Raw genomic sequence first — 24,733 nt, 5'->3', positions numbered from 1 at the left:
ATTTCATGGTATTGCTAAATGTTTTAATATTGTAGACAGCTGTATCAGATGTTGAGGATAAATGGCCTATTTACCCTACTTAAATAGGAGATTAGAATATTGGTTATGAAAGGATTTCAAAGGCACGTATCTCCAGCTGCATACATACAACTTTTAAGTATGATTTCACCTGTAAAAAAAGAACAAAACCGCTTAGGATGAATCAGGAATTCTAAAATTGATACTTGAAAAGTTTACTTCCAGTGAAACTTTATTATGTGCAAGAAAGAAAGATAATACAGCCCACAATTATACAAATATTATTTCAAATGTCTTCCAGTGGCTGATATTATAAAAGATGTGCCATGTTTATATCTTGATGCGTAGTCCTCAAAATACCACTCTTTAACATTACATCAGAACTTTACCAAAATTCAAAGGTTGTATGAATGAAAGACCACTGTCATATCTTAGATTTTCATGTTCAACATGCAGCTGCATAAACCATAGGGATTCTTGCTGAAATGTCCTTCAGCAGTTTTTATGCAGATGGCAGAATATAAACGCTTTGTTACAGACGCATAAACACATGCCATGGCTTCATGACAGAGAATGATGTAGAGTCAATCTGCAGAATCAGCTGGTGTATGCTCCTCAAGTGGGAGGCAGGGAAAAGCTTTGGCAGAAAAACAGCATAGAACCACATGCTTATAAGAAACAGATCAATGGGTTTCCTGCTGCATGGAGGCTGCCGTGTTTCATTCTTGGCTTGGATGAAGTTTGTTATAAATCTCTTTGTCTCAGTGCTCCTAGATATAATGAAGTCGAGGCGTGGGTATAATGCAGAGGGAATGTGTATTTAGACTCCACAGGACTTACTCCATTTTTTTGCAGGAAACAGAGCTTGGAGTAGCCCAGCCTCCAAGGGTCTGAGGGAGCACTGGGGAAACTGTATATATGCATCCTCGCTGATGTATTTACAGAGCTGTGTTCTCGGCTGAACGCCCTCAGCCTGCCCAGCGCACTAGAGACTTGCAAGACTTTTGCTCCACCAAGGAGTGCTCAGGGGACATCCCACTCAGTTCTGTGGCTCCTTCTTCCTCTTCTCTTTATTGGCTCAATTCTGCTTCCTCACATCCTCCAAGTACAGGGCAATCAGTCAGTGGTTCAAATCATCAAGCTCTTGGTAAAGATAGGCAAACTAAAAAGATCCAGAAGAAAATTGTATTAGTCCATTCTCACACTGCTATAAAGACATACCCGAGTCTGGGTAATTTATGGAGAAAAGAGGTTTAACTGACTCACAGTACCACTGGATGTACAGGAAGCATGGCTGGCGAGTCCTCAGGAAATTTACAATCATGGCGGAAGGGGAAGGGGAAGCAAGCACATCTTCACGTGGCCAGCACAAGACAGAAAGAAGAGGGAAGTGCTACACACTTTGAAACAACCAGATCTTGTAAAAACTTCATGAGAACAGCAAGGGGGAAATCCACCCCCATGATCCAATCACCTCCCACCAAGTCCCTCCCCCAACATTGGGAATTACAAAATGGCATGACATTTGGGTGGGGACACAGAGCCAAACCATATCAAAAACATAGTTTTTTTCTGCATATCAGTGGAAGCCCTATGTATGTCTATGTCTGTTTATCAGAACACTGTCAAATTCTTATTAGAAAGAGTACAAATTAAGGTTCGTTTGCAAAAGCAATTGCAGTTTTTGCAATTACTTTAATGGCAAAAACTGCAATTACTTTTGCATCAACCTAATAGAAGACATTTAGAAAAGTTTGTTGAAATGTTGTGTGTTCCTTTCTGCCATTCTAGTATTAAGAGCATGCCCACTTATTTGCATTATTATGACACTGGTCTTGTGATTTGGGTTACATTCACAGTAGGCAATTAAGGCATGTCAGTTTCCAAGCAGCATCAGGATCCTGATGATGATTCAGCTACTGGCAGTTCATCAGACTGGTTGCTGAGGGAGTTGCTCAGATGTTGCAAAATGATTCAGTTCTTGGAAACGTGGATAAATTTCAGCTCAAGGAGTACTTCTTTTTCAACACTAGAGAAAGGAACTGAAACCACTACAAAATAGACTTTTATGTATAGTCATCATAAAGTATATTAAAAGGTAGAACAGAGGATACTAGAGGCTGAGAAGGGTAGGAAAAAGGATGGATAGGGAGAAATTTATTAAAGGATATAAAATTACAGCTAGATAGGAGGAATAAGTTCCAGTGTTCTATACCACTGGATGACTATAGTCAACAATAATATATAGTTTCAAATGGGTAGAAGGAGGATACTAAATGTTCCCAGCATAAAGAAATGACAAATGTTTGAGATGATGGGTATGCCAGTTGCCCTGATTTGATTATTATACATTATGCATATCAAAACATCACTCTGTACCCCATGAATATGTACAATTATTATTTGTCAATTCAAAAAAATAAAATTATTTAAAATTTAAAAACTTTCTTAAAACACTGACATATGGTACAGTAACAAAATAAAGAAAATTTTTCATATAAGATTCAGAAAATTAAATGTTTCATCTTCATTTCCTAACCTACTTGTCCTCCTTTTTTGTCTTCTTCATATTTCTGTAATGGTTCCACCCCCCTCCAATTATAGGAGTCCTGTACTTGGTACCTAATACCTCAACCCCTTCTTTCACTTTCTCCTCTCTTTCTCCACACACCCAGTCATCACCTAAAGACTTGGTTGCTCAAGGACTGTTAGAATGTTTTTCCCTCACTGTCATGAGTCCCTTATCATCCCTCACATATGCCATTACATTGTTGCAGCTTTTCTTTTATCTACCTCTGCCTCTGTTGACTGCTGAGAGTGGTTTTCTCAAAGCATATTCACTACCATGTTCAAAGAATCTCTGATAGCTACATGTTATACATTCTACATTGCATTCAGAGCCCACCATGGTGATATAACCGCACTCCTCATTGTCTTTTCCCATTCTCCCTTTCATGTACTTTTGCTTGAGATGAAGGGCTCTCCCGCTTCAGTGCTTTTGATCAACCTGAATTGTCCCTCACCTTCTCTTTCTGCCACTTCAGCATCATATTTTCAAGAAACTTTCTCTAAACAACCAGTTCTTAACACTTTGACCCATGATACCACATTTTAGAGCACTTACCCTTTCATACATATGTGGTCCTGACCTAATAAAACTAAGATTTTTGCAGCCACAATTTATGTCCCCTCCCAAAGTATCTAGCCCAGTGGCTTCAACACAGTAGAAATGCAAATATTTGCTAACTCCTTGATGTTCTCTTCCCCTTCTTTTTCAGCAGGACCACCACCCTACGGTCACGACCACGAGATGGAATACTGTGCAGACTTGCCTCCTCCATACTCCCCCACCCCACAGGGTCCAGCACAGCGTTCTCCACCCCCTCCTTATCCTGGAAACGCAAGGAAATAATCTATCTCCCAGAACAGAACATGTGCCAATGGGCGATCTTGCCTGGAATAAAATGCCTCTACTCAGAAACAGGCAGGAAAGAATTGCTCCAAGGAATACTTTTTGGGGTCAGATAATGTGTCAGGTGGAATATCCCTGCTAGGAGATATAGGATTTCTACTCTGCTCAAAGCTGACCCCATCTGGAGTATTAATGTTTGGTTCTATGGAACCACATTTTAAGAGATCTGCTGATCCACCTAAGCACATTCAGGGAAGAGTAATGTAATTGACAAAATATCTGATAATCATGTTGTTTAAGGGCTAGGTGAAGAAAGTTTCAGTATTGATCCTGGAAAAAAAGAAGATCTAAGTAGGATGGGAGAATGATTTGGCCCACACAAGGAAGCAACTTTATTCTATATAGCTTTAAAAGTCAGAACTAGAATTGTTCATTCTTTCATTCATCAATAAATGTATTTTGAGTGCCTAAGAGTTTACTATGTGCCTAGCACTGTTTGAGGTCCTGATGGAAGTTACAGGACGGGTACTCTGGTTTTAGTACAAGAAAGAGCAATGACTAGATTGCTTTGTGAAGCTCTTGGTAGAGACACGCTCCAGAAGGGATAACAAAATCAAATAGTAGATGGGTTCATTGGGCCTCAGAAGTTCTGCTCGTATTTTAGGTGGGTGTGAAGTGAATTTCTATATGTCCAGGAGTGAATACAACAGAAAGAGTTGGATCTTATTTATTTAATTAGGGAGTTAAAACAAGACCAAAAAGACTCAACAGCCGCTTGAAGCCAAGAACTCTTCAATGCCAGCTACTGCCACCTAAAAATCATCTGGCTTTATAGTGGATCAGAATAAAGGTTATTCTAACTGTGGGGAGAAAAAAAAAATTGTATCAAGTTCCACAGGTAGCAGACACTTCACTTCCAAGTAAAAGATGAGAAATCAATTATTCCCACAGGATTTTAGGTCAGGGAGCAAAAATCTCAGAACTTGACCATGAAGATACACAACAGACTCGCAAAAATAAAGTGGGAAATGAAGTTCAGATTCCCTTCTGTAGATTTCCTTAAAACTATTATTTTTTTCTTCTTCGTAAAATTTTGATAATCTGTTCTCTTAAAAAAGTTAATGACACAATTAAGATACTGACATCAAATTGTTGCCTTTTACCAAAATGCAAATTTTATGAAGTGCCTACCTTTATATGTATAAAGCATTTAATAAATAATTCTAATGTGCCATATTTTGCTGTGAGTGACCTTAACATTTATATTTTTATATGAATTGTTTCATGTATTTATAAAAATTGTATATTGAACATTGGAAATAGATGATTAGATTTTTGTGTCATTTTACAATTAAATCTAAAATGCTTAATCCAATATCATCATCAAAATTCAGTGAAATCCCAAAACAGTGCCAAGAATTTTGCTGAATGAAACAATCAAACAAAGCATTTTAAGGTGTAAGTTATAGTACCTGTACTTGCAGATAAGAAGCTTACTATATCATTATTATAAGTAGCATATATTACTTTCAAATACCTATATTAGAAAGATATTGATCTGACTGAAATATAACCTACCTGCCAGTAAGGTCCAAAGGCTGAATTTGTTTTGAATGAGTTCCTTGATCTTTAAGCACTGATGATTTTCTTATATATGAGGATGCAAAGCATTCAAGAGTTTCAGCCTGTTCTGGTGAGGGGCTCCCTGACTTACATAAAGTTTTCAGTGCAATTTTAATAGTACATATGCTTTAATTTATTTTTCTTCTGCGTGTGGTCAGACCCAATTACACTGTGGCTAAGACTCTCAAAGTGCCAGGGTTTCTGTGATGATTCTGAGAATGCTGAATACAAATATACCTTATATTCTTTAAGGAAAACGGAAAGGAAAGATCAGCAGAAATAGGGTTTTCTCATCTTCACCATCAATAAACATTTATTGCGTACCTCCTATATTCTGCAAATTTTCCCCAAATAGAAGCCAGTTCAGTCCACACCATCTCTTCTTTGAGTTGTTTATGGCCTCCCTTAAGGCATTTTACAAACCCATAAGCCTACAATAGATGAGTATTTTTACTATTTGTATTAAGTGTCATAATAGCATCAATGTGCACATTACCAGTATAGACTGTTGGAGTTCACTGATTGTTTTCATAGATGATGCTTCTTGGGGAAAAATAGTATAGGATGTGAAAGTTTTGAATTACGGTTATTTAAAAACTAACATTTGCTATGGCCAAAGTGTTTACAATAAGCAATAAAGTGAAAGAACCTATTATAACACAGATTATATTTTCATTGTCTTGTGTCCATTTTTTTCACCCTCTATTTCTGCTGACTTTGCCTCATTCTTCTGTACAGGAAACACAGGGCTGGAGCCAGACAGACTTTATTTTGAATCCTGTCTCCTGCCTGTGTGATTTGAAGCAGGCTACTTCATCTCTGAGATTCAACTTTCTGCTCTGGAAAATGTAAATAATATTATCAGTCTCATCGCATTCTGCAAAAACTGGATGAATATATACAAAACTCTAAGTATAGTGCCTGGCACATAGAAAACGTCCAATAAATATTAGCCCAAAATAAATTAACAAAACAACAATATAATGAGAACAACCTCTAGAACTATATTATCCAACACAGCAATCATCAGCTACATATGGTCATTTAAGTTTAAATTAATTGAAATGAAATTAGATGAAAAATTTACTTCATCTGTCTCATTAACCCCATTGCAAATGCTGCATAGCCTCATGTGGCTAGGGGCTACCTACGTTATTGGGTAGTGCCACTCTAGAGAAATCTATGCAAAAACGCAGTGAGATAGCAGGAAGTCATTGAAAAAGAGACCACTCCAATCTCCTCCAGGAGAAACTATGGACTTTGTCAGCTAATTGTGATGTCTTTCACTTATTTGTGTGGAGAGTCCATTCCCATGGAAGCAAGACAATAACTTGCATGAGAACCATGAGCAGCGAGAGGCTAATCTGGCCCTCTCCAGAGCCATGGGCAGGAAAGCTGTTGCAAGAGCTGAAGGGCTGATGATAGGAGAGAGACCTTAGACCTGATGTTAGAGCTGGTGAAACAGAGCCACAGCCTGTTCTCAGAGTCTAATCAATTCTGCAGCTGCCTACCCAGCTTCAGAAGCCACTACAGGAGCATGTGGGGCTACCTAATCTTCCTAAGGTGCAGGGCTGTAGGCTACCCTTCTGTTTTTTCATAATCTTGTTCCCACCACCAAATGACGGCAGCACTCATCATACATCCACTCTACTTCCAACTTGTCCTTGTTTAACCAAACTCATTTTGCCAACTTTTGGTTGTAGGTAAAGTAGGGACTGGGACACATAAGATTGTATATTAAGCTCATCAAATAGTGGAGCTCTGGGTACTATTGTTTTAATTTTTCACTTAATTAAAACAACCTAACACCAGAATGCCAAAGTCACATGGTCACCTTGTTAATCACCACAGAGGCATCCAAGAACTACCATATTCTCAATCAAAACCTATCTGAAATGCATAGTTTTTATTCTCTGATTTGGGGCCAAGCTGCATGGGATATGGCTGAACTTGTGCAAGAGCAAAACTCTTTGGTGCAACTGTACTGTGTAGTGTGGTTCAGTATAAACATTGTCAGGACCTCCAGAAAAGGAAAGTGACATGATTAACTATAAAGCAACCCACAGGTGATTCTGATTTCCAGCCTACTTAACCCCACTCAGGCCTCTAACATCCCTCTAATGCAGGGGACAGAACCAAGGCTTCAGAGTAAGGGAGACTTTGTTTCCCCTCTCATCTCTGTCATCTTCTAACTACATGTACGGAGCCAAATAACAACATTTCCATAACCTCAGTTTCATTCAAAATATATGAATAACACCATCCTTGCCACGTGGTTGCAATGATTATAAACAATATATGTAGAACATCTGTTACAAAGATCCTACCTGGGTTGGTGACTCTGATAGTTGCAACTGAATATACATATTCTCTTTCCTTTATGCCCCACTCCGAAGCCTCACCACTTCTATAAACAGGTGCATTTGTTATCCATTGCTGTGTAACAAATTTAACTCAAAACTTAGTGGCTTGAAACATGTATTATCTCAGTTTCTATGGATCAGGAATCTGAGGGTGGCTTAGCTGGGTCTTCTGGCTCAGGGACTGTCACAGGCTGCTGTCATCTCAATGTACAACTGAGAAAGTATCTGATTCCAAGCTCACTCCCATGCATGGTCATTGACGAGATTCAGTCCCTCCGAGGCTTTTGTGCCAGCTTCATTTTCTCACTAGCTATTGGCCAGAAACCACCCTCAATTCCTTGGCATATGGGCCTCTCTGTAGGACAACTTTAAATGTGTCAGCTTGCTCCCCCAGAGCAAGCAAGAAGAGCCATGGAGTGGAAGAGAGTGCTAGGAAGACAGAAGTCACAGACTTACGAAATCCAATATTGGAAGTGATATCCCATCACATTTGCCATAACCTGTTCTTTAGAATCAGGACACTAAGTTCATCTCACATAAAAGAGGAGGGAATTACACAAGGACACAGAAACCAAGAGGCAGAGAGCTTTGGGGGCCATCTTAGTAGTTGGTGTACCATAGCAAAGATATTTTATCTTACTCTCCTTAAGTTGATTATTTAGAGTTTAGGCAATGTAGAAGATAATACCTTCCCTCTAATAAGAATGTACCAACTCAACAGCTGAAAGAATCCCAAGCCATGCTTGGCTGTGATCAAATTGCTTTTATTGAACCAACAGGAGCAGAATGGAGCTGGCAACATTCAAGGACCACATTAACTAGATAAGTGCTACATTCCTAAGAAATACTGAAAAGATACACACAAGGCTTGTGTTTCTCATGAACTTCATTTATGAGCTGCACTAAAGCCCATCGTATTAGGCAGGGAATGAAGTACAGCACATACACCACATACCTTTATGGACGAGTCTTAAAATAGTCCCAGTTCTAACCTTTGTTTCAACTCTGTTCCTAGATATTTAATCTTCATCAAGAAAATAATTCCAAGACAAGTTCCCAGATGAGTGTTCAGTGGATCAAGTTGCTACCTAAGCTAATCCTGAATGCCTTCCCTAAAAATAAACATCCAATCCAAGGAAATGGTTGGAACTGGGGGAACATGTGTTAGGAATATTTGCCTTCTCTGGAAGCATGAAGGAGAAATTGTTTTTTAAAAAAATTTAGACTTTGATTTCTATTTCTGCTCTGCTCTCACTTTTTTTTTTTTTTTTTATGGAGTTTTGCTCTTGTTGGCCAGGCTGGAGTGCAATGCCACAATCTCAGCTCACTGCAACCTCCACCTCTGGGGTTCAAGCAATTCTCCTGCCCCAGGCTCCCGAGTAGCTGAGATTACAGGCGCGAGCCACCACACCCGGCTAATTTTTGTATTTTTAGTAGAGATGGGGTTTCACCATCTTGGCCAGACTGGTCTCAAACTCCTGACCCTCAGGTGATGTAACTGCTTCGGCCTCCCAGAGGCTGGGATTACAGACGTGAGTCACCGTGCCCAGTCTCTGTTCTCCTTTTTCTAACCCAGTCATGAATAGCTTTTGAGTGTGTATCACCTGTCATTTCTTTTTTAATTGTTGTTTGTTCTTTCTTCAGAGACAGGGTTTCATTCTGCCACCTAGGCTAGAGTGCAGGGAAATGATCATGACTCACTGCAGCCTCAACTCCTGGGCTCAAATGATCCTCCCACCTCAGTCTCCCCAGTAGCTGGGAATACAGGTGCGTGCCATGAAACCTGGCTAATTTGTTTATTTTTTTGTAAAGATGGGGTCTTGCTATGTTGCTCAGGCTGATCTCGAACTCCTGGCCTCAAGCAATCCTCTTGCCTTGGCCTCCCAAAGTGCTGAAATTACAGGTGTAAGCCACCATGCCTGAACCATACCTGCCATTTCTAAATGTGAGGAAGAAGCAAGAGAATCATTTTCTGAATCTCGTTTCGTCATGGCTAATAAATGAATAAGATATCTTGCATTGTTTCCATGGTCTGCAAGATGAATAATTTTCTCTGACTAAAATCCGAAGAGATCCAAGCGATCAGATTCCCCATTTTTGTACCTTATCAGTTAATGTCTTGATTATCACACATTTTGCATATCATCTTCCCTATTGACTAGAAAGGAACTTGAAAGCCATCCAAAGGGATAAAGCATTCAGAGTTCAACTCCTGCTTTACCTGTGAAAATGCATTTGGAGACCACCCTCCTCATCCCTTGCCACCACCTGAACACACGGTGCTAATTCCCTTACCTCCTTGCCTGAGGATAGATAAACCCTCACTTAAGCTGCAGAAACCCTCCTCATCTTTCCAGATCTAGGTAAAGAGCTGATACCCGGAGAAGAGGACCCTGGCAAATTTTCCAATCAGAATTAATCATTTCCCACCTCCAGCCATTTTGGTACCTAATCCAATACCCCTCTTGTAGCCTTGTAATAGATTTGTGTAAATGTCTGTCTCCTCCATTAGATTCTAAGCTCTTTGAGAGCCAAGACTGTCCCTTGGATATTTGTAGTCCTCAGGGAGTACCTACATGATATTTGGGACATGGTAAAAATGATTGAATATATTAAGTAAGCAACTAATATTTGACATGAAGGAATATTAAAAGAACTTTAAGAATTAGAGGAAGTGAGTTTGTAGTGAGTAGCATATTCTAAGTGTAGTCCATAATCTAAAGTATGAGTCAGACAACTGAACAAAGGCTGTAGCTTCATAGTTTTTAATTGATGTACATGTCAATCCAGATAGAGTTAAATCGTGCCTTTAAGTGCAGTATTAACACGTGCCCCTTCATAAGAGGAATGTGCTCATCTTGAATGACTCACTTAGTGGGAACAGGATAACATGTCAGTTTGGGAGAGGCACTTTTATAATTCTTAAAATTAAGCTTCTCGTTTCTTACATAAAAAGAATACCAACTGAATATCAGAAAATAATTGCTTCATGAATTGTATATCCATAGAATAGATTCTAATGTAATTTAGACTTCAGAAGCAATGTCCAAAGGATACACTAAGGTATTTTACTAAAATAAGATGCCATAGTTTTCACGTTACCATTTCTCCAGGGTATGTTGAAAAACTACTGAATATTCTGAAAAGAAACAAAAACACTAAAATTGGCTGAAAATGGGTTATAAAATTGCAACCAGCTTTTGTGCTATTATTATTTAATACGTATGGAGAGAAATAATGCATTTATCCACGTTCTGAGAAGCAGTAATACCACTGTAAAAACATTGATTCTCAATGGAATCATCCCTAGAAATGTGTTACCTTAATTAATAATAACAGTAAGTGTGTGTGTGTATGTGTGCACCAAGCACTGTTCTAAGCAATTTACATTTAACTTACATTTAATCCTCTCAAACCCATGGCATAGGTATTATTATTATCCCCATTTTACAGTTTTGGATACTGTAAATGTTTCAATTCATAATCTTTAGGCAAATTCTAGTGATAGGTATTGTGCTTTTATTATATTAAAACAATTATATTCTCCTCAGAAACCCGGGACATTTTTATGGGAACATAATTCTAACTCTTTCTTCCCCTAGGATGAACCTTGCCTAGGAGACTTCTTAGTCTCTCATGCAAAGAAAATCTTGGTAGAGCCGCTCCCCGAGCTCAGTCCTTTAAATGCTGAGAGTGAGCAGTTAAGCTCAACCTGGGCTCCTGCCTTCTGTATTACATGCAGAATACAATGATTTCAATGACTAATCCTTTTCTCCTAGTACAGCATAAGTAGCCTTAAAATAGTACTTACCTGAAACTATTGTTTTGCCAAATTGAAATGAATTAATACAATAATTATATTGAACAATTTAGATAAATTCATTATTTAATTTTTATGTGAATTGACCATGATATTGGCACAAGTTCTTTACAATGTCAGCAGAATTAAAAATGAGGACCACACGTCACTTCATTATATAATGATTTTTTGAGCAAATATCTGGCATGACATAAGATATCTAAAAGTGTTGGATGAACAAAATGTCTAATAGAAATAAAAGGTAAGATGACCATTGACATTAAACCTTTTTTGTACTGTGTACACATTCCCCTTCCCTTTACAAATCCACTCTCCACACCCTCCCCTCTATTTCTGCCCAGGAGTCTACACTGCTTGGACTGCACCAAGGACTTCCCTTGACAGTTGTGCTTCTGGTTGAATTTGGCCAATGGAGAGGCCATTCAGGAAAGCAGAAAGAAAAAGGAGAGTGAAGATGGAATACTTACTTGAAGTATTTATCTGGATGGTGCCTCTCAAACAAAAGTCCAATTCCCATGGGATGCCTTCTCCAAACAGCTATATTTCTAGCTTCTCTCCTTCCCCTTTTAGACCTAGGACTGCCAAAGCTTCCCTATTGCTGCTAGTCATGGAGTACTGCACTACCGCCTGTAGTTTCCCTTCACTCTATCCACGCATTTCATGAACTCTCTTCAAATTACTCCATATGGGTAGCCATCGACTTCTTACCAAGGCCCTGACTGAGACACTTTCATTCTTTTAAAAATATCCGAGTCAACTAATATATTAAAATAGACCAGCATCTCTTCTCAACTGTTCTGTGTTTGCATTATGTATTTATTTGAGAAAACAAGCAGGAGACCTGGGTTCTAGTCTCAACTCTACCACTAACCAGCTTTCAGATGATGAAGACTTCTGCAAGGCCACTGTCTTCTTAAGAACAAAATGGCTAGGTGCAGTAGCTCACACCTGTAATCCCAACACTTTGGGAAGCTGAGGCAAGAGGGTTGCTTGAGGCCATGAGTTCAAGACTAGTCTGGGCAACACAGTGGGATCCCATCTCCACACACACAAGAAGTTTTTAATTAGTCAGGCATGGTGGTGTGAACCTGTAGCCCTAGCTACTCTGGAGACTGAGGCAGGAGGATTATTTAAGCTCAGGAGTTGGAGGCTGTAGTGAGTTATGATTGCACCCAGCCTGAGTGACAGAGAAAGACTCTGTCTTTTTTAAAAAAATAAAAAAAGCGACATTTATGTGGCCAACAAACATACGAAAAAAAGCTCATCATCACTGGTCATTGAAGAAATGCAAATAAAAACCACAATGAGATACCATCTCACGCCAGTTAGAATGGCGATCATTAAAAAGTCAGGAAACAACAGATGCTCCTACTGGTGGGAGTATAAATTAGTTCAACTATTGTGGAAGACAGTGTGGCGATTCCTCAAGGATGTACAACCAGAAATACCATTTGACCCAGCAAGCCCATTACTGGGTATAAGCCCAAAGGATTATAAATCATTCTACTATAAAGACACATGCACGCATATGTTTATTGCAGCACTATTCACAATAGCAAAGACTTGGAACCAACCCAAGTGCCCATCAATGATAGACTGGATAGAGAAAATGTGGCACACCATGGAATACTATGCAGCCATAAAAAAGGATGAGTTCATGTCCTTTGCAGGGACATAGATGAAGCTGGAAACCGTCATTCTCAGCAAACTAACACAGGAACAGAAAACCAAACACTGCATGTTCTCACTCATAAGTGGGAGTTGCACAATGAGAACACATGGACACAGGGATGGGAACATCACATACTGGGGCCTGTCGGGGGGTGGGGGGTTAGGGAAGGGATAGCATTAGGAGAAACACCTAATGTAGATGATGGGTTGATGGGTGCAGCAAACCACCATGGCACATATATACCTATGTAATAAACCTGCATGTTCTGCACATGTATCCCAGAACTTAAAGTATAATAAAAAATTACAATTAAAAAAAGAATAAAATGCACATGGCAGCAGTCAAGAATGAACAAACCAATAAAAAAAGAATCACATAGACTCTTAGAGACAGCATAGGAATATTTTTGTGTAACACTTACAAGTAAGAAAACAGACACAGAAGAGATGAGAGATTTGTTCAAAGTTACTGCTGATGGGACAGCTTTTTGGTAGCAATCCTTGGATACAGACTCCAGTTGCTTGACACTTCTTTCCACTCTCCTACTTATTATTTTTTAATTTAACAAACACATAGCACTTAATGTGTATCAAGCACTATTTTAAGCTCTTCACAAATGTTACCTCATACAATTATAATGTTATCTGCATTTAACAGATGAAAAAACTGATTTTTAGAGAGGTTAAGTACCTTCTGCAAGGTCACACATCTAACCATGGCACGTGAAGTTGAGCAGGGAGACCACAGCATCCTTGCTGTTATCCACTGTGCTGTGCCAGTTCTCTACACAATTGTTGGTTCGGGTTATTGTTGACATGCTCTTTCCAAACTCAGGGCCTTTGCACATTCTGATTCCTGTCTGGAACATAGCTGACTCTTTTTCATTCCTCCGGTCTTACTTTTTTTTTATTTTTCTTTTTAGAGACATAGTCTCACTCTGTTGCCTAAGCTGGAGTGCAGTGATGCAATAATGACTTACTGCAGCTTCCAACTCTTCGGCTCAAGCAATCCTTTTGCCTCAGCCTCTGGAGTAGCTAGGACAATATGTGCTCACCACCATGGCTGGCTAATTTTTTATTTATTTTTTGTAGAGATGGGAGCTCACAGTGGTTCCCAGGCTGGTCTCCAACTCCAGGCCCCAAGCGATACTCCTGCCCAGGCCTTCCATAGTGCTAGGATTACAGACAAGAGCCACTATGTAGGCCAGGTCACATGTTAAATACCAAACCATAAAATTAGCTTTCTCTGACAACCTGATCTGAGCAGGTCTCTAACAACACCTTATTCATTTTTCTGCATCAACACTCCCTATACGCTGCCTTCATAGCACTTACCCCAAGATATAGTTAAATAAATGTGTGTTTACTTCTTTCTGCTCTGTGCCCTTCCTCTACTAGACTGTAAACTCCCTGAGAACAGGGGTAAGTCTGCTCAATGCATGACTCTATACTGGCACCCAGAGTAGGCACTGAATAAGAAGTATATGTTGAATCGATTATCAAATGTGTTTTATAGAGCTATAATCTACAGTGTAGAATGTAGTTGCACAAATACTCTAATAAGGGCAAAGTTGGATATAGTCCAAAGTTCTTAAATTCAAAGCGATTATAAGAAGCAGCTCTCCTCCTCCCCTTCTATCCCTTTTCTGTGCTGGCTTTTTAAATGGGTACGATTCACAATGACTAATGGTACCATCGCTGTCACCCCAGGCCAAGGGGTTTTTGAAACAGTGTAGTAGGACCCCAGGTGATGCAATGTCAAGGGAGATGCTACTGGTATTTAGTGCACCACAATAGACAATTGCATTAAAAAAGAATTGTCCTGCCCTAAATTTTTCTCAAGATTTCACTTCCTCAGTTACCTCACTCTCAACCCCAAAGAAAAAATAACCTATAAGTACAGAAGTATCATTACTTCTAAAATATTTTGAATATTTAATGACGCTAACATGCCATTAGCAATGAATCGCTTAGTTGACTGTGCTGATCTGAAGAGCAGTTGGGTTTAAGAAATGTTCTACTTCCATTCTCTTCTCCAAACTTTAGAGACTGGTGTTTCAATAGCAAGAATATCTCAAGTCATACTTTGGCCTCTTTTGCCGCAGTTCTGTTTTGACAGTTCTGTTTCACCCAAGTAATGGCCTTGTGTCCGTGCCTCCCAGGGATGGATGCAAATATCCATTGTTCAAGTCACGATATATTTTTACCTGACAGCAACCTGCATTCTGTTCAGAGAAAAGATGCATTTTATTGTTGGTAAAGAGGTTGAGCTATAACTTGTGGATGCACAAGTTGTTGGAGTATGAATAATTGATACTAGACATAAGTCCTTTTTATGGTCTCCATTCATTAGGGGGAAAATCCAATCAGGCAGCCCTGTGTTCATGTCACTGCGTTTGAAATATGTCTTTGGAAATTAAGACATTGGCTTTTTACGTGCGCTGAGCATGGATTTAAGTGAGTTAGACCCCTGTACCTGTAAGATAGCATTAACATTAAAATATTAAAGGCAAGATTTCTACTTAAGAAGAATGAAACAGAAAATTACTAAAATGAGTCAATTGATATCATGACATCTCAAAGCCCAAGTTTAAAAATAAAATAAGATTGGTAGTAGATTTCATAGGAAGAAGATGATAACTTCTTCCAGCAAGTTATCAAAAAGTAAGCTTGGTATATTTGTGAACACCCTTTTTAGAATCACTTTCATTCATTTATTTCATTCATGCAGCATTTATTCAAATCAACACATTTTTATTGGGAACTTATTGTGTCAGACACTAAATGCTGGGGGTATAGCAATGAAGAAAATTGGCCTGATCCTTTAACTCATAGAGAATGCAGTAATCTCTATGTACTGTACATGAAAAAGTCACTACAAAATTAATTCATCAAATTCAACTGTAGGAAGTGCTGTGAAGACACATTAGTACAAGATGCAACCTTAGAGGCCATTAAGCAAGACCCTGTGATCTCAAAGGTGAGAATACTGAAACTGTGGGAAGTGAAAAGTCTTAGCTGAATGTACACAGAGAATACAGCAGGCCCATGGGTCACACTAGTCAACATAGATGAAGTAGATAGGATCTGCCATAGACATCAAGCTGACGAAACCATTAAAAGGCAAAATTCATTTGCACATTTGCTTTGGCTAAAGTCAGGCTCATAGATAATGTCATCTAAAGATTTTTCCTTAAGAACATGTATCTTCAAAGTCTGAGAATCTGAGAGGCTTTCATTTCCTGTTTTAATGTGACCAATAATGATTGTTTTCATTTCGTTTTGTTTATTAAAACTATTAGTTATACATCTATCCTTTACTCACTTGTCTATTGGTTAGTTGGTTGGATGTAGCAAGGCTCAACTATTTCACAGTCATAAAAGCCCTTTATAAAGACATAGATCATCAATTCAGTAAACAAGGAGATGAGTTGTGCTATCTAGGCCTAACTTTGTTAATATTCCTTCATTCATTCAACAAATACTGACTGAGCACGTTACTATGTGTCAGCCGTGGTCCTAGAAGCTGGAGATTCTTCAGGGAACAAGAAAACTCCCTGGAGTTTCGTTCTAATGGAGAAGAAGAAAACATAAACAAATAAATAGTGCATCAATTGTGAAAAAGCTCTGGGAGAAAAAAGCAAGCTCAAAGGAAAGAGAGTAACAGGATTGGGAAACAAAAAGGCTGGGTTTTTGGTAAGATGATCAAGGAACTCTTGATATAGTACTATTTAAGCAGAGAACTGAAAGAAGTAAGGGAATGAGACTTGCCAGTATCTAGGGCAAAGGTATACCAGGAAGAGGAAACAGCAAAAGCTAATCCTCTGAGGTAGGGGAATACTCAGCCTATTTGAGGAAGAGCAAGGAGGCCAATGTGGCTGAAGCATCATGAGTGAAAGGGAGAGAAGATGAAGATAAGGTCACGTAAGTATCAGAACACAGGTCATGTAAAGCCGTGTAAGCCACGGTAAGGATTTTGGATTTTATTCTGAATGAATTGGGAAGTCAGTGGAAGATACTGAGGCAAAGAGTGATATATACGTATACATATATAGTACATACTTATAGATGCTCATCAACTTATGATACTATCTACATCCAGATAAACCCACTGTAAGTTGAAAATATTGTTAAGTTGAAATGCAGAGCTTAAAACCTAGATGACAGGTTGATGGGTGCAGCAGACCACCATGGCACACGTATACCTGTGTAACAAACCTGCATGTGCATCCCAGAACTTAAAGTAAAATAAAAGTTAAAAACAAGAAAATGCATTTAATACACCTAACCTACCAAATCTCATAGCTTAGCCTAGCCAACCTTAAACATATTATATATATATTATATTATATATGTGTGTGTACATATATATATGCAGAGAGTTACTATAATGTGTGTTTGTTTCAAATGACAAAATTGTGTAAGATAAATTCCTTTGCTGCAATATATAATACTTGTATTAATATATTGCTCTTAAGATTCCAAAATGCTCTGATTTCTATAACTGCATTTTTATGCTCCTGTTACGGATGCTTGATGGTGGCACATGAGAGAGAGAGGTGTGAAACAAAGATATAGGATTAAGGCAAATTTGCAAATACACAGCCTGATACCATTTCACATTAGGTCATGGTTATCCGTCCCATCACAATATACATTAACATCCCAGCAGAGTGCTTCCTCTAGCACATCTCTAATAGATATGTGTAGATGATAAACACAAAAGAAAATCTTGGAAATCGGGTCACTGCCATGGATCTTGAAGGAGTTAGAGGTGTAGCTGGGTTGTTGAGTAGCAGCTGAGGATGGCTGCCAGAGAGGTGGTACTGGAATAAAATTGGGAGTAATTCAAAATAGGGTATTATGGTTCCCTGGAGATATTTTTTTACCTCAAAATGTCTCCTTGTGCTTGGAGAATGCTGGCAAAACTCTAACCAGCCCTTCTTAGCCTATTCACCAAAATTACACCCAGAAATAAAACTTCCCAGCACAAGATTAAGTCTCAAAAATTTATTTTCATTTTAAAAAGTCCTTGGGTCTTCCCTTTGGAATTTTCTACTAGCCTGTTTGCCATTTCCTGGACTGGAGAATTGGGTTATTTGTATGGTACTGTCTACGCTTCTGGATGCTCCCATATGATACTACACAAAGATTCACTGCTGATTTCATTCATTTTATAGAGAGTGGATAGGGACAAGAAGGGTTGCGTCAGATAACATAAAAGTGAGGGCTGAGAAGGCCGTGGTTTTTACGACTGTTCTTATGGAATATTTTGTTAGTTTTCTTCCAGAACTGTCCCATAGCACATGAGGCCTTCCACCTCCTAACGCTATTGCAATTTCTGGGATATTTAATATCTTTTGAAAGTAACTTTGAGCAAAGCTAAAGGAAAAATGGTAAATATTATTTTTCTTTGTGAAGCAGGCTCACTGTACACAGCTTACCATTTTCTCTGAGTCCAGTGAGATGGAACACACTCATACAGAACAAGTCACATGAAGCAGATTTATTACTTACAGACAGGCAGCAAAGGAGAGCAAAAGCCTAGGATTCATTATAAGCCAGTTCCCCGAGTCTCAGGAAAGCTGCTTGGGACAAATTGAGTCTTGACCGTGTCGTGTGACTCTCCACTTGCACGGCAGCTGAGGGACCCTGAACAGCAGGCTGCCCTGAGTTTATACCCGAGGGTCAGGTGAATTACTGGGCTTAAGCTTTGGAAGACATGCTGCTTCTAGTGGAGGACTGGAATAGAACCAAGGCCATTTCAGCCAGTCCCTCCCTATCTCAGGATTTTACAGTCCCAGCACATTTTACAGTTATTATTAAGAACAACTTTAATGCAAGTCTGTTTGAGTGTCAAAAAAAAATTTTAATAGAAAAAAAGGAACTACCAGTGAGAAGGTGGGGAGAACTGGGTCAGTCCAAGGCCACCTGGACAACTGTCCTGCATGTGGTTCTTCCCCTTTGAAATGAATTTAAGGAGTCTGTATGCGTCTAAAGTTAGAAATGTTTAGTCTATCACCATGAATATTCAATTATCTCTACATTTCCCATGACCAGTAATTAGCTCTGTGTCTGATACTTATTTAAGCATTCATAATAGGAGATGGATGTGGATATGGTATCAAAATATAGAGAATCCATTTTATATTTAAGAATGTAAAATCATTGCTCATTCCCAAATTAGTCAATTACAAAATTAAACTTACAAATCAATCAAATGTCCATGTCAGTTACTAGATTTTAATCTCTTACCCTCATATAACAATCAATGAGAGCCTCAAATCTAAAAATAGCAATACTTTCATTATAAGATTAGTGTTTTCCTTGAGTCAATAGTTCATGACATTTTTTAGCTTTCTCTAAAAGCTACTCCTGTAAGACGAGTCAAAGTAAAACAAGATAAACATGGACATTTTTCAGAAAACTGCTATCTTTATAATCAAGCTTCTTTTTCTGAAATAACAATGTTGCTTTCTAACTCTGAGCCAAAATAGAATGAGTTAGGGGTTCAAGGATTATATTCTAAGGAAGTAATGCTATTTTGATCCTGCCTAAAATTTCCCATTTTATATTGCGGAGTGACATAAAAAAATACACAAGATCTTCAATACATACAGAATGAAAATTAATTGAACCCAATATTGAAATTACTAAACCATCCTATTTCCTAAGATACAGCCAATGAAAAACAAAACATTCTAATTTCCCTAAAAAAGGAGAAGGGAAGGAAAATGGAGCTTATAAAGCTCTAACATGCTTGAGAAGGATGTGGACTACTGCTTCCAAGTATACATTTGGAGTAGCTAAACAAACTGATATGGTTAATAATTTTTCTCTTAAGCTCTCTCCATGTGATTCAGTCTCAACTACCGATCCCTAAACAATTTTTATTTGTCTAAAAACAGTGGAATTTTTTTTAAAAGATATAGCTCAAACAAAATTTTGAGGTTTTGGTTTATCTGTGACAGCTGCCTTTTTTCTGACTTAATTTCCCCCAACCCTGTGGTGCATAACCGCTTTCAATACCAATGATAATGAAAGATGGTCTTGGTTAGTTTTCCTCTTCTACGACATAAATTTTTCCAGGGATTTGTCTAGAAAGGATATGAGATGTTAGTGTGTGTGTGTGTGTGTGTGTGTGTGTGTGTGCGTGCAGTGGCCACATGTGGACTTTGAAGTTAGTCAGAATTGGATTTGAATCTCAGCTCAACCACTTACAAGACCTTGTTGAAGTTACATAATTTCTTTGAGCCCAATTTCCTCACTTGCAAATTGTAAGCCACTTAGTATGATCTGGTGCTTTGATTGTGCTTTCAAGAGCTATCTGTGATGGCTGACTCCACGTGTCAACTCGGCAAGACTATGGTGCCCAGCTGTTTGGTCAAACACTAGCCTTGATGTTGCTGTGAAGGTACTTGTGGATGTGATTAACATTTACAATCAGTTGACTTTAAATAAAGATTATGTTCCATAGTGTTGGTGGGCCTCATCCAATCAGTTGAAGGTCTAAAGAAGAAAGAATGAGGATTCCTGAGGAAGAAGCAATTCTGCTTCAAGACTCCAACATAGAAACTCTGCCTGAGTTTTCAGACTACTGGCCTGCCTTACAGAATAGGGACTTGCCAACCCACAAGTTCACATAAGCTAATTCTTTAAAAATGAGTCTCTCTCTCTATACACACAAACACACACATACACACACACACACACACACACACACACACACATATATACCCTATTGGATATATTTTCTGAAGAACTCTGACTAATACACTCATACTCTTGTTATGATGATGAAAGGAAAAGTTCTGTGTAGTGCTAGATAGTAAGTATGCAGGACATGTTGGTTTCTTACTCCTTTACCACCTCCTCCCAAAATGTTACAGGCAGTTCACTCATAAGGCTAGCTCTAAAAGCAAATTGGCCTTATTCTTTGAACTCAGGAGAGTCATGGAAGGGAGTAGAAGGAGAGAGAATCACAAGGGGTAGATGCTTCCAAAGGAAATAGTTATAGGTGTTGATATGTCTTTTGCTACAATTTACTCAGAAAAAGCTTCCTTGGACAGAAAAACGTTAAAAGTCTAGTGTGTCATTTAGCCTAGGCTGGATCTCACTCCACCAGAGGAGAAGGCCAGATGCCGGCTGGAGTCACTATATCTTAAATGAAAGCTATCAGCCTAGTTTTTGGATGCCATCTCACATCAAACTCAGGACCAAACTGTGCTTCACTTGGGCTCTGGCATCTAAAAAGTACATGGAGAAAAAGGATTCAAAAATAACTCCATCAGAAGAAACATGGCAAAGCCAGGCTAAGGTTCTTCTTTGTTGCTGAATGTGATAAAAAATAATGCAATACATTAAACGCCATCCCCACTCTTTATTCAAATTTCTATGGGAGAAACTTATACCAAAGTCAGTTCAGTTAAAGTGCTGATGCTATTCTCATAAGACATATTGATACCGTCTTATTTGTCAATAACTAGACAAATAATTCACTCTCTCATCTTTATCCAGACTCTCTGACAACTTTCTATAATGGGTTAAACCAATTTCTACTGGAAAAACATTTAATTTTATGATCATTGCTTCAGAAAACACAATCACAAATTTCTACAATCAAACTAAATCAATTCAAGACCTCAAAACTTTTGACAGCCTTCTTAATATATTGAAAATCTATTTTAAAATATAGGTGTCTAGTGAAGACATGAGGATCAGGTGCACTCAGGCCATAGTAGAATGTAAATTGGGCGGCTCTTCCTGGAGAGCAGCTTGGTAACATACACCAAATTGCAAGATGTGCATAATCTTTTAATTCCATGCTCCCACTTTGAGAAAATTGTCTACAAGAAATAATGGTACAAATATGCAAAGATGTGTGCATGAGAATCATAACGGCTATGTCAAATATGACATAAGACAAAATCAACATAATCATGCATCCATAAGGATCAACTCATAATGATCATGCATTCAGTGAAATACGATACGGCTGCCACAAGTGAATCACGCAAAACTACTTTATGTCCACTTATATTAAGTAGAAAAAAAGAGGATTTATAGCGTGCTCCCATTTTGCGTTTAACAGCAATTCCATCTATATATAAAATCCAGAATACTTTTATCTCTGGGTTGTTGGATGAAAGGGTACTATTATGTGTGTTTTGAAATTTTTATTGCTTTCTGAATAAACAGTCCATTAAATTTTATAATCAGAAATCAATAGTTATTTAAAAGACATTAATTTACTCTAGGTAAATTAATATAAAATATTTATTTTCACGTATTTTAAGGGGAAATCTTGATTGGGGGAGTTTCAGAAAATTGGTAATTCTTAATGACAGGCATAAGCAGAGGAGGATTTTTTTCAGATTGAAACAAAACAGAATTCTGTGAAATCCACGGAACCCACAAGAAAATATTTAAATGCTCATAACCCCACAAATAAGGATTTAGGCTGTGATCTACGGTACTGTGCAGTAAATTCCTCAGTATCTCTAAATCTGTGAAGGAGCATGAGCAGCCTGCCAATGAACGACTGAAGTATCAGGAGGACCAGTTCCAAGCACCGTCTGCCTATCATTGACTCTATTATGTGCAATTTGACAAAGCTTTTGTTATCCTCTCCGCTGGAGCTATTTTTACATTGTAAGTTTGTGTAGCAATTTCTCTCTGGGTACTTTTCCATTGATTCTCACAACAAGCCCTTCTAAAAAGGAAACGCAAGCCAGATATGTTTCAACATGTGTTCAGTGGTAAGGAATGCTCAGTCATTTTAGAAGAGGGATGATGTGTGGAACAGGGAAACAACTCTCATTTGTCTATTAAAGACAACAAACTAAAAGGGAGTAATCTGACTTTCTGCTCAAGGACTCCACTGTGAATAGAGAGGCACAATAAATACAGGTTCTTCTAGCTTGTCTGAAAAGGTGATAGTAAAATGAGTTAATATAAATAATAAAATTAATACAGAGTAAGACGATAAAATGTAATAGAAAGTTTAACAGACTCTGGAGGCCCCTTGCCACGTCAGACTTAGTCCTGGAGTTTCTGCATAGTTGGGAGGTGGAAAATGGTCCCTGGGGAGGAGCCAGGGTAGAGTAGGAGAAGAATCTGGAGGACTGAGTATAGCACCTAACTGGTAAATGGTAAGAAATTATTCTCATATTTCAACAGGGGTACAGCCCCTCATTCCCAGGGTACGTCATCGATTTTTGCAGCTGATACTGAGACTAGAAAGCATGCCTTAAGTCAATGTTTCTCAGTGTATATTCCTTTAAGCTAGTGATTCTAAAATGTGTGTGTTTTGCTTTCCAAAGGATGTTTGGCGATGTCCAGGGGGCATTTCTGGTTGTCTCAACTTGGGGAGAAAATATCAGCGTCTAGCCGGTAGACATGAGAATCCTGCTAAAGATCCGACAGCTCCCACAATAAAAAATAATCTGGCCCAAAATGTCAATAGGGTCAAGCTGACAAACACTGCCTTAAGCATTATATATACAGTTACAATAAATTCTTCTAATTATTTTTCTTGACTGAATTTATTGATATTTCAATGACCAGAATAAATATTCTAATCCAAGAGGACACAACACAAAAATAACTTGGACACTGCTAATATCTATGCTTGTCATAATGTGAACTATATTCTTTTTGCTCTTGATAAAACACAGGAAACCTCAGGCTAACATCCTCAGATTAGTTCAGACATGCCATTGAAGAATTATGTTCTATTTGCAAAGTCAAAAATGCCATGCATGGATTCTTTCAGAAAGTCTTCACGTTCACAAAACATAGTAGTAAGTTATTTCCTGCAGAGGTCTTAGAAGATTAGACTGCTAACATGAACGTGTGAGATGAGTAAATTTTTTCACATGTAAAATTCCTGAGACAAGATGCTTAAAATTCCTGGGACAAGATGCTTTAGAAACCTTGACCTAAAGGCCATTGGTTCTTTGAATCCACTTCAGCGATTTGAATGTGTGTGTGTGTGTGGTGTGTGTACCAACAATCACAGATGTGACATTGCTGAAACATAGGTTTGCAAATGTGCAATGTGGCACCATTAGAGAGAAGCTTCCATCTATACTAAAAAGAGGAAGGCTCAAATGCTTCTTGAGAGGAAATGTTTTAATGTCCTAGAATTCAGTATTCTAGTATTTAGTATTCATTAGAAATAGCTATTGGAAACTAGGTATTTTTTCAGGGTGTATTTTAAGGAATAGTGAATTTTAAAAAGAAAAACGGTGTCTGCATGAGCAGACACCTGAGTAAAAGGTCCAAAGATATATTTTTTTCTAAGGATTATGTCAAAAGACCCATCCTATTCTTATTAATTGTCATCAATTTGTCAGTGGTACAATCTGAAGTTGGACAGTACTTTGTGACGAGCTTATCCAAGGCTAACTCCGTTGTGGATCAACCCAACATTCTTCGTGCTTAGGAGAAAGACTTTTGCACAATTTGGTTTTGTCCAAGTTATTCACAATACCAACAATGCATGTCCAGATACTTCACAAATTGGCACGTCTCAAAATAATGAGTTAAAAAAATGGCCATTTTAAATTATGTTTGCTCCTAGAATTTTTTAGCCATTTCCACAGGTGTAGAATTCCAGATGTAATAATCATCACTAGTTTTCATGACAAGGCATCAGCAGAAGGCAAGTTTACAAAAAGAAATCAGTCATACATTTTTTGATATATCAGGACATAAGTAAAAAAAAAAGTATAAACCAGCAACTTTCAACATGACCAAAATTTGAAAATTTCTACCACAATTTTCTCCAACCAAAGCCCGTTAATTTGCACAACAATGTGAATA

General features: G+C 38.3%; 1 protein-coding gene and 2 long non-coding RNA genes across 6 annotated transcripts in view; 1 reads left to right on the top strand and 2 right to left on the bottom strand.

The window, feature by feature from the left end:
* Positions 1–5,715, top strand: part of CYYR1 (cysteine and tyrosine rich 1) — a 107,071-nt gene extending 101,356 nt beyond the window's left edge. For 2 of the 3 annotated variants that reach the window (NR_135472.2, NM_001320768.2), the window contains one exon: positions 3,297–5,715. Coding sequence is in view for 2 of the 3 variants with exons in the window: in NM_001320768.2 (NP_001307697.2) it covers positions 3,297–3,430 (134 nt within the window). In the remaining variant the exon portion in view is untranslated. The remainder of the gene's footprint in view (positions 1–3,296) is intronic. The other variant, NM_052954.5, reaches the window with a different exon arrangement.
* Positions 1–24,733, bottom strand: part of CYYR1-AS1 (CYYR1 antisense RNA 1) — a 175,618-nt gene that overhangs the window by 97,322 nt on the left and 53,563 nt on the right. The window lies entirely within an intron of this gene.
* LOC107985474 (uncharacterized) lies at positions 233–13,672 on the bottom strand. Its single transcript, XR_001755129.2, has 2 exons — positions 13,599–13,672; positions 233–1,180 (listed from the first exon to the last, which is right to left on the bottom strand). It is a non-coding gene; the product is annotated as an uncharacterized LOC107985474 (long non-coding RNA).

The sequence above is a fragment of the Homo sapiens genome, chromosome 21 (assembly GCF_000001405.40).
Source record: "Homo sapiens chromosome 21, GRCh38.p14 Primary Assembly".
Classification (NCBI taxonomy): Eukaryota; Metazoa; Chordata; class Mammalia; order Primates; family Hominidae; genus Homo; species Homo sapiens.
Note: the sequence above shows the minus strand (reverse complement) of the source record. Positions and strands in the feature narration are given on the sequence as shown.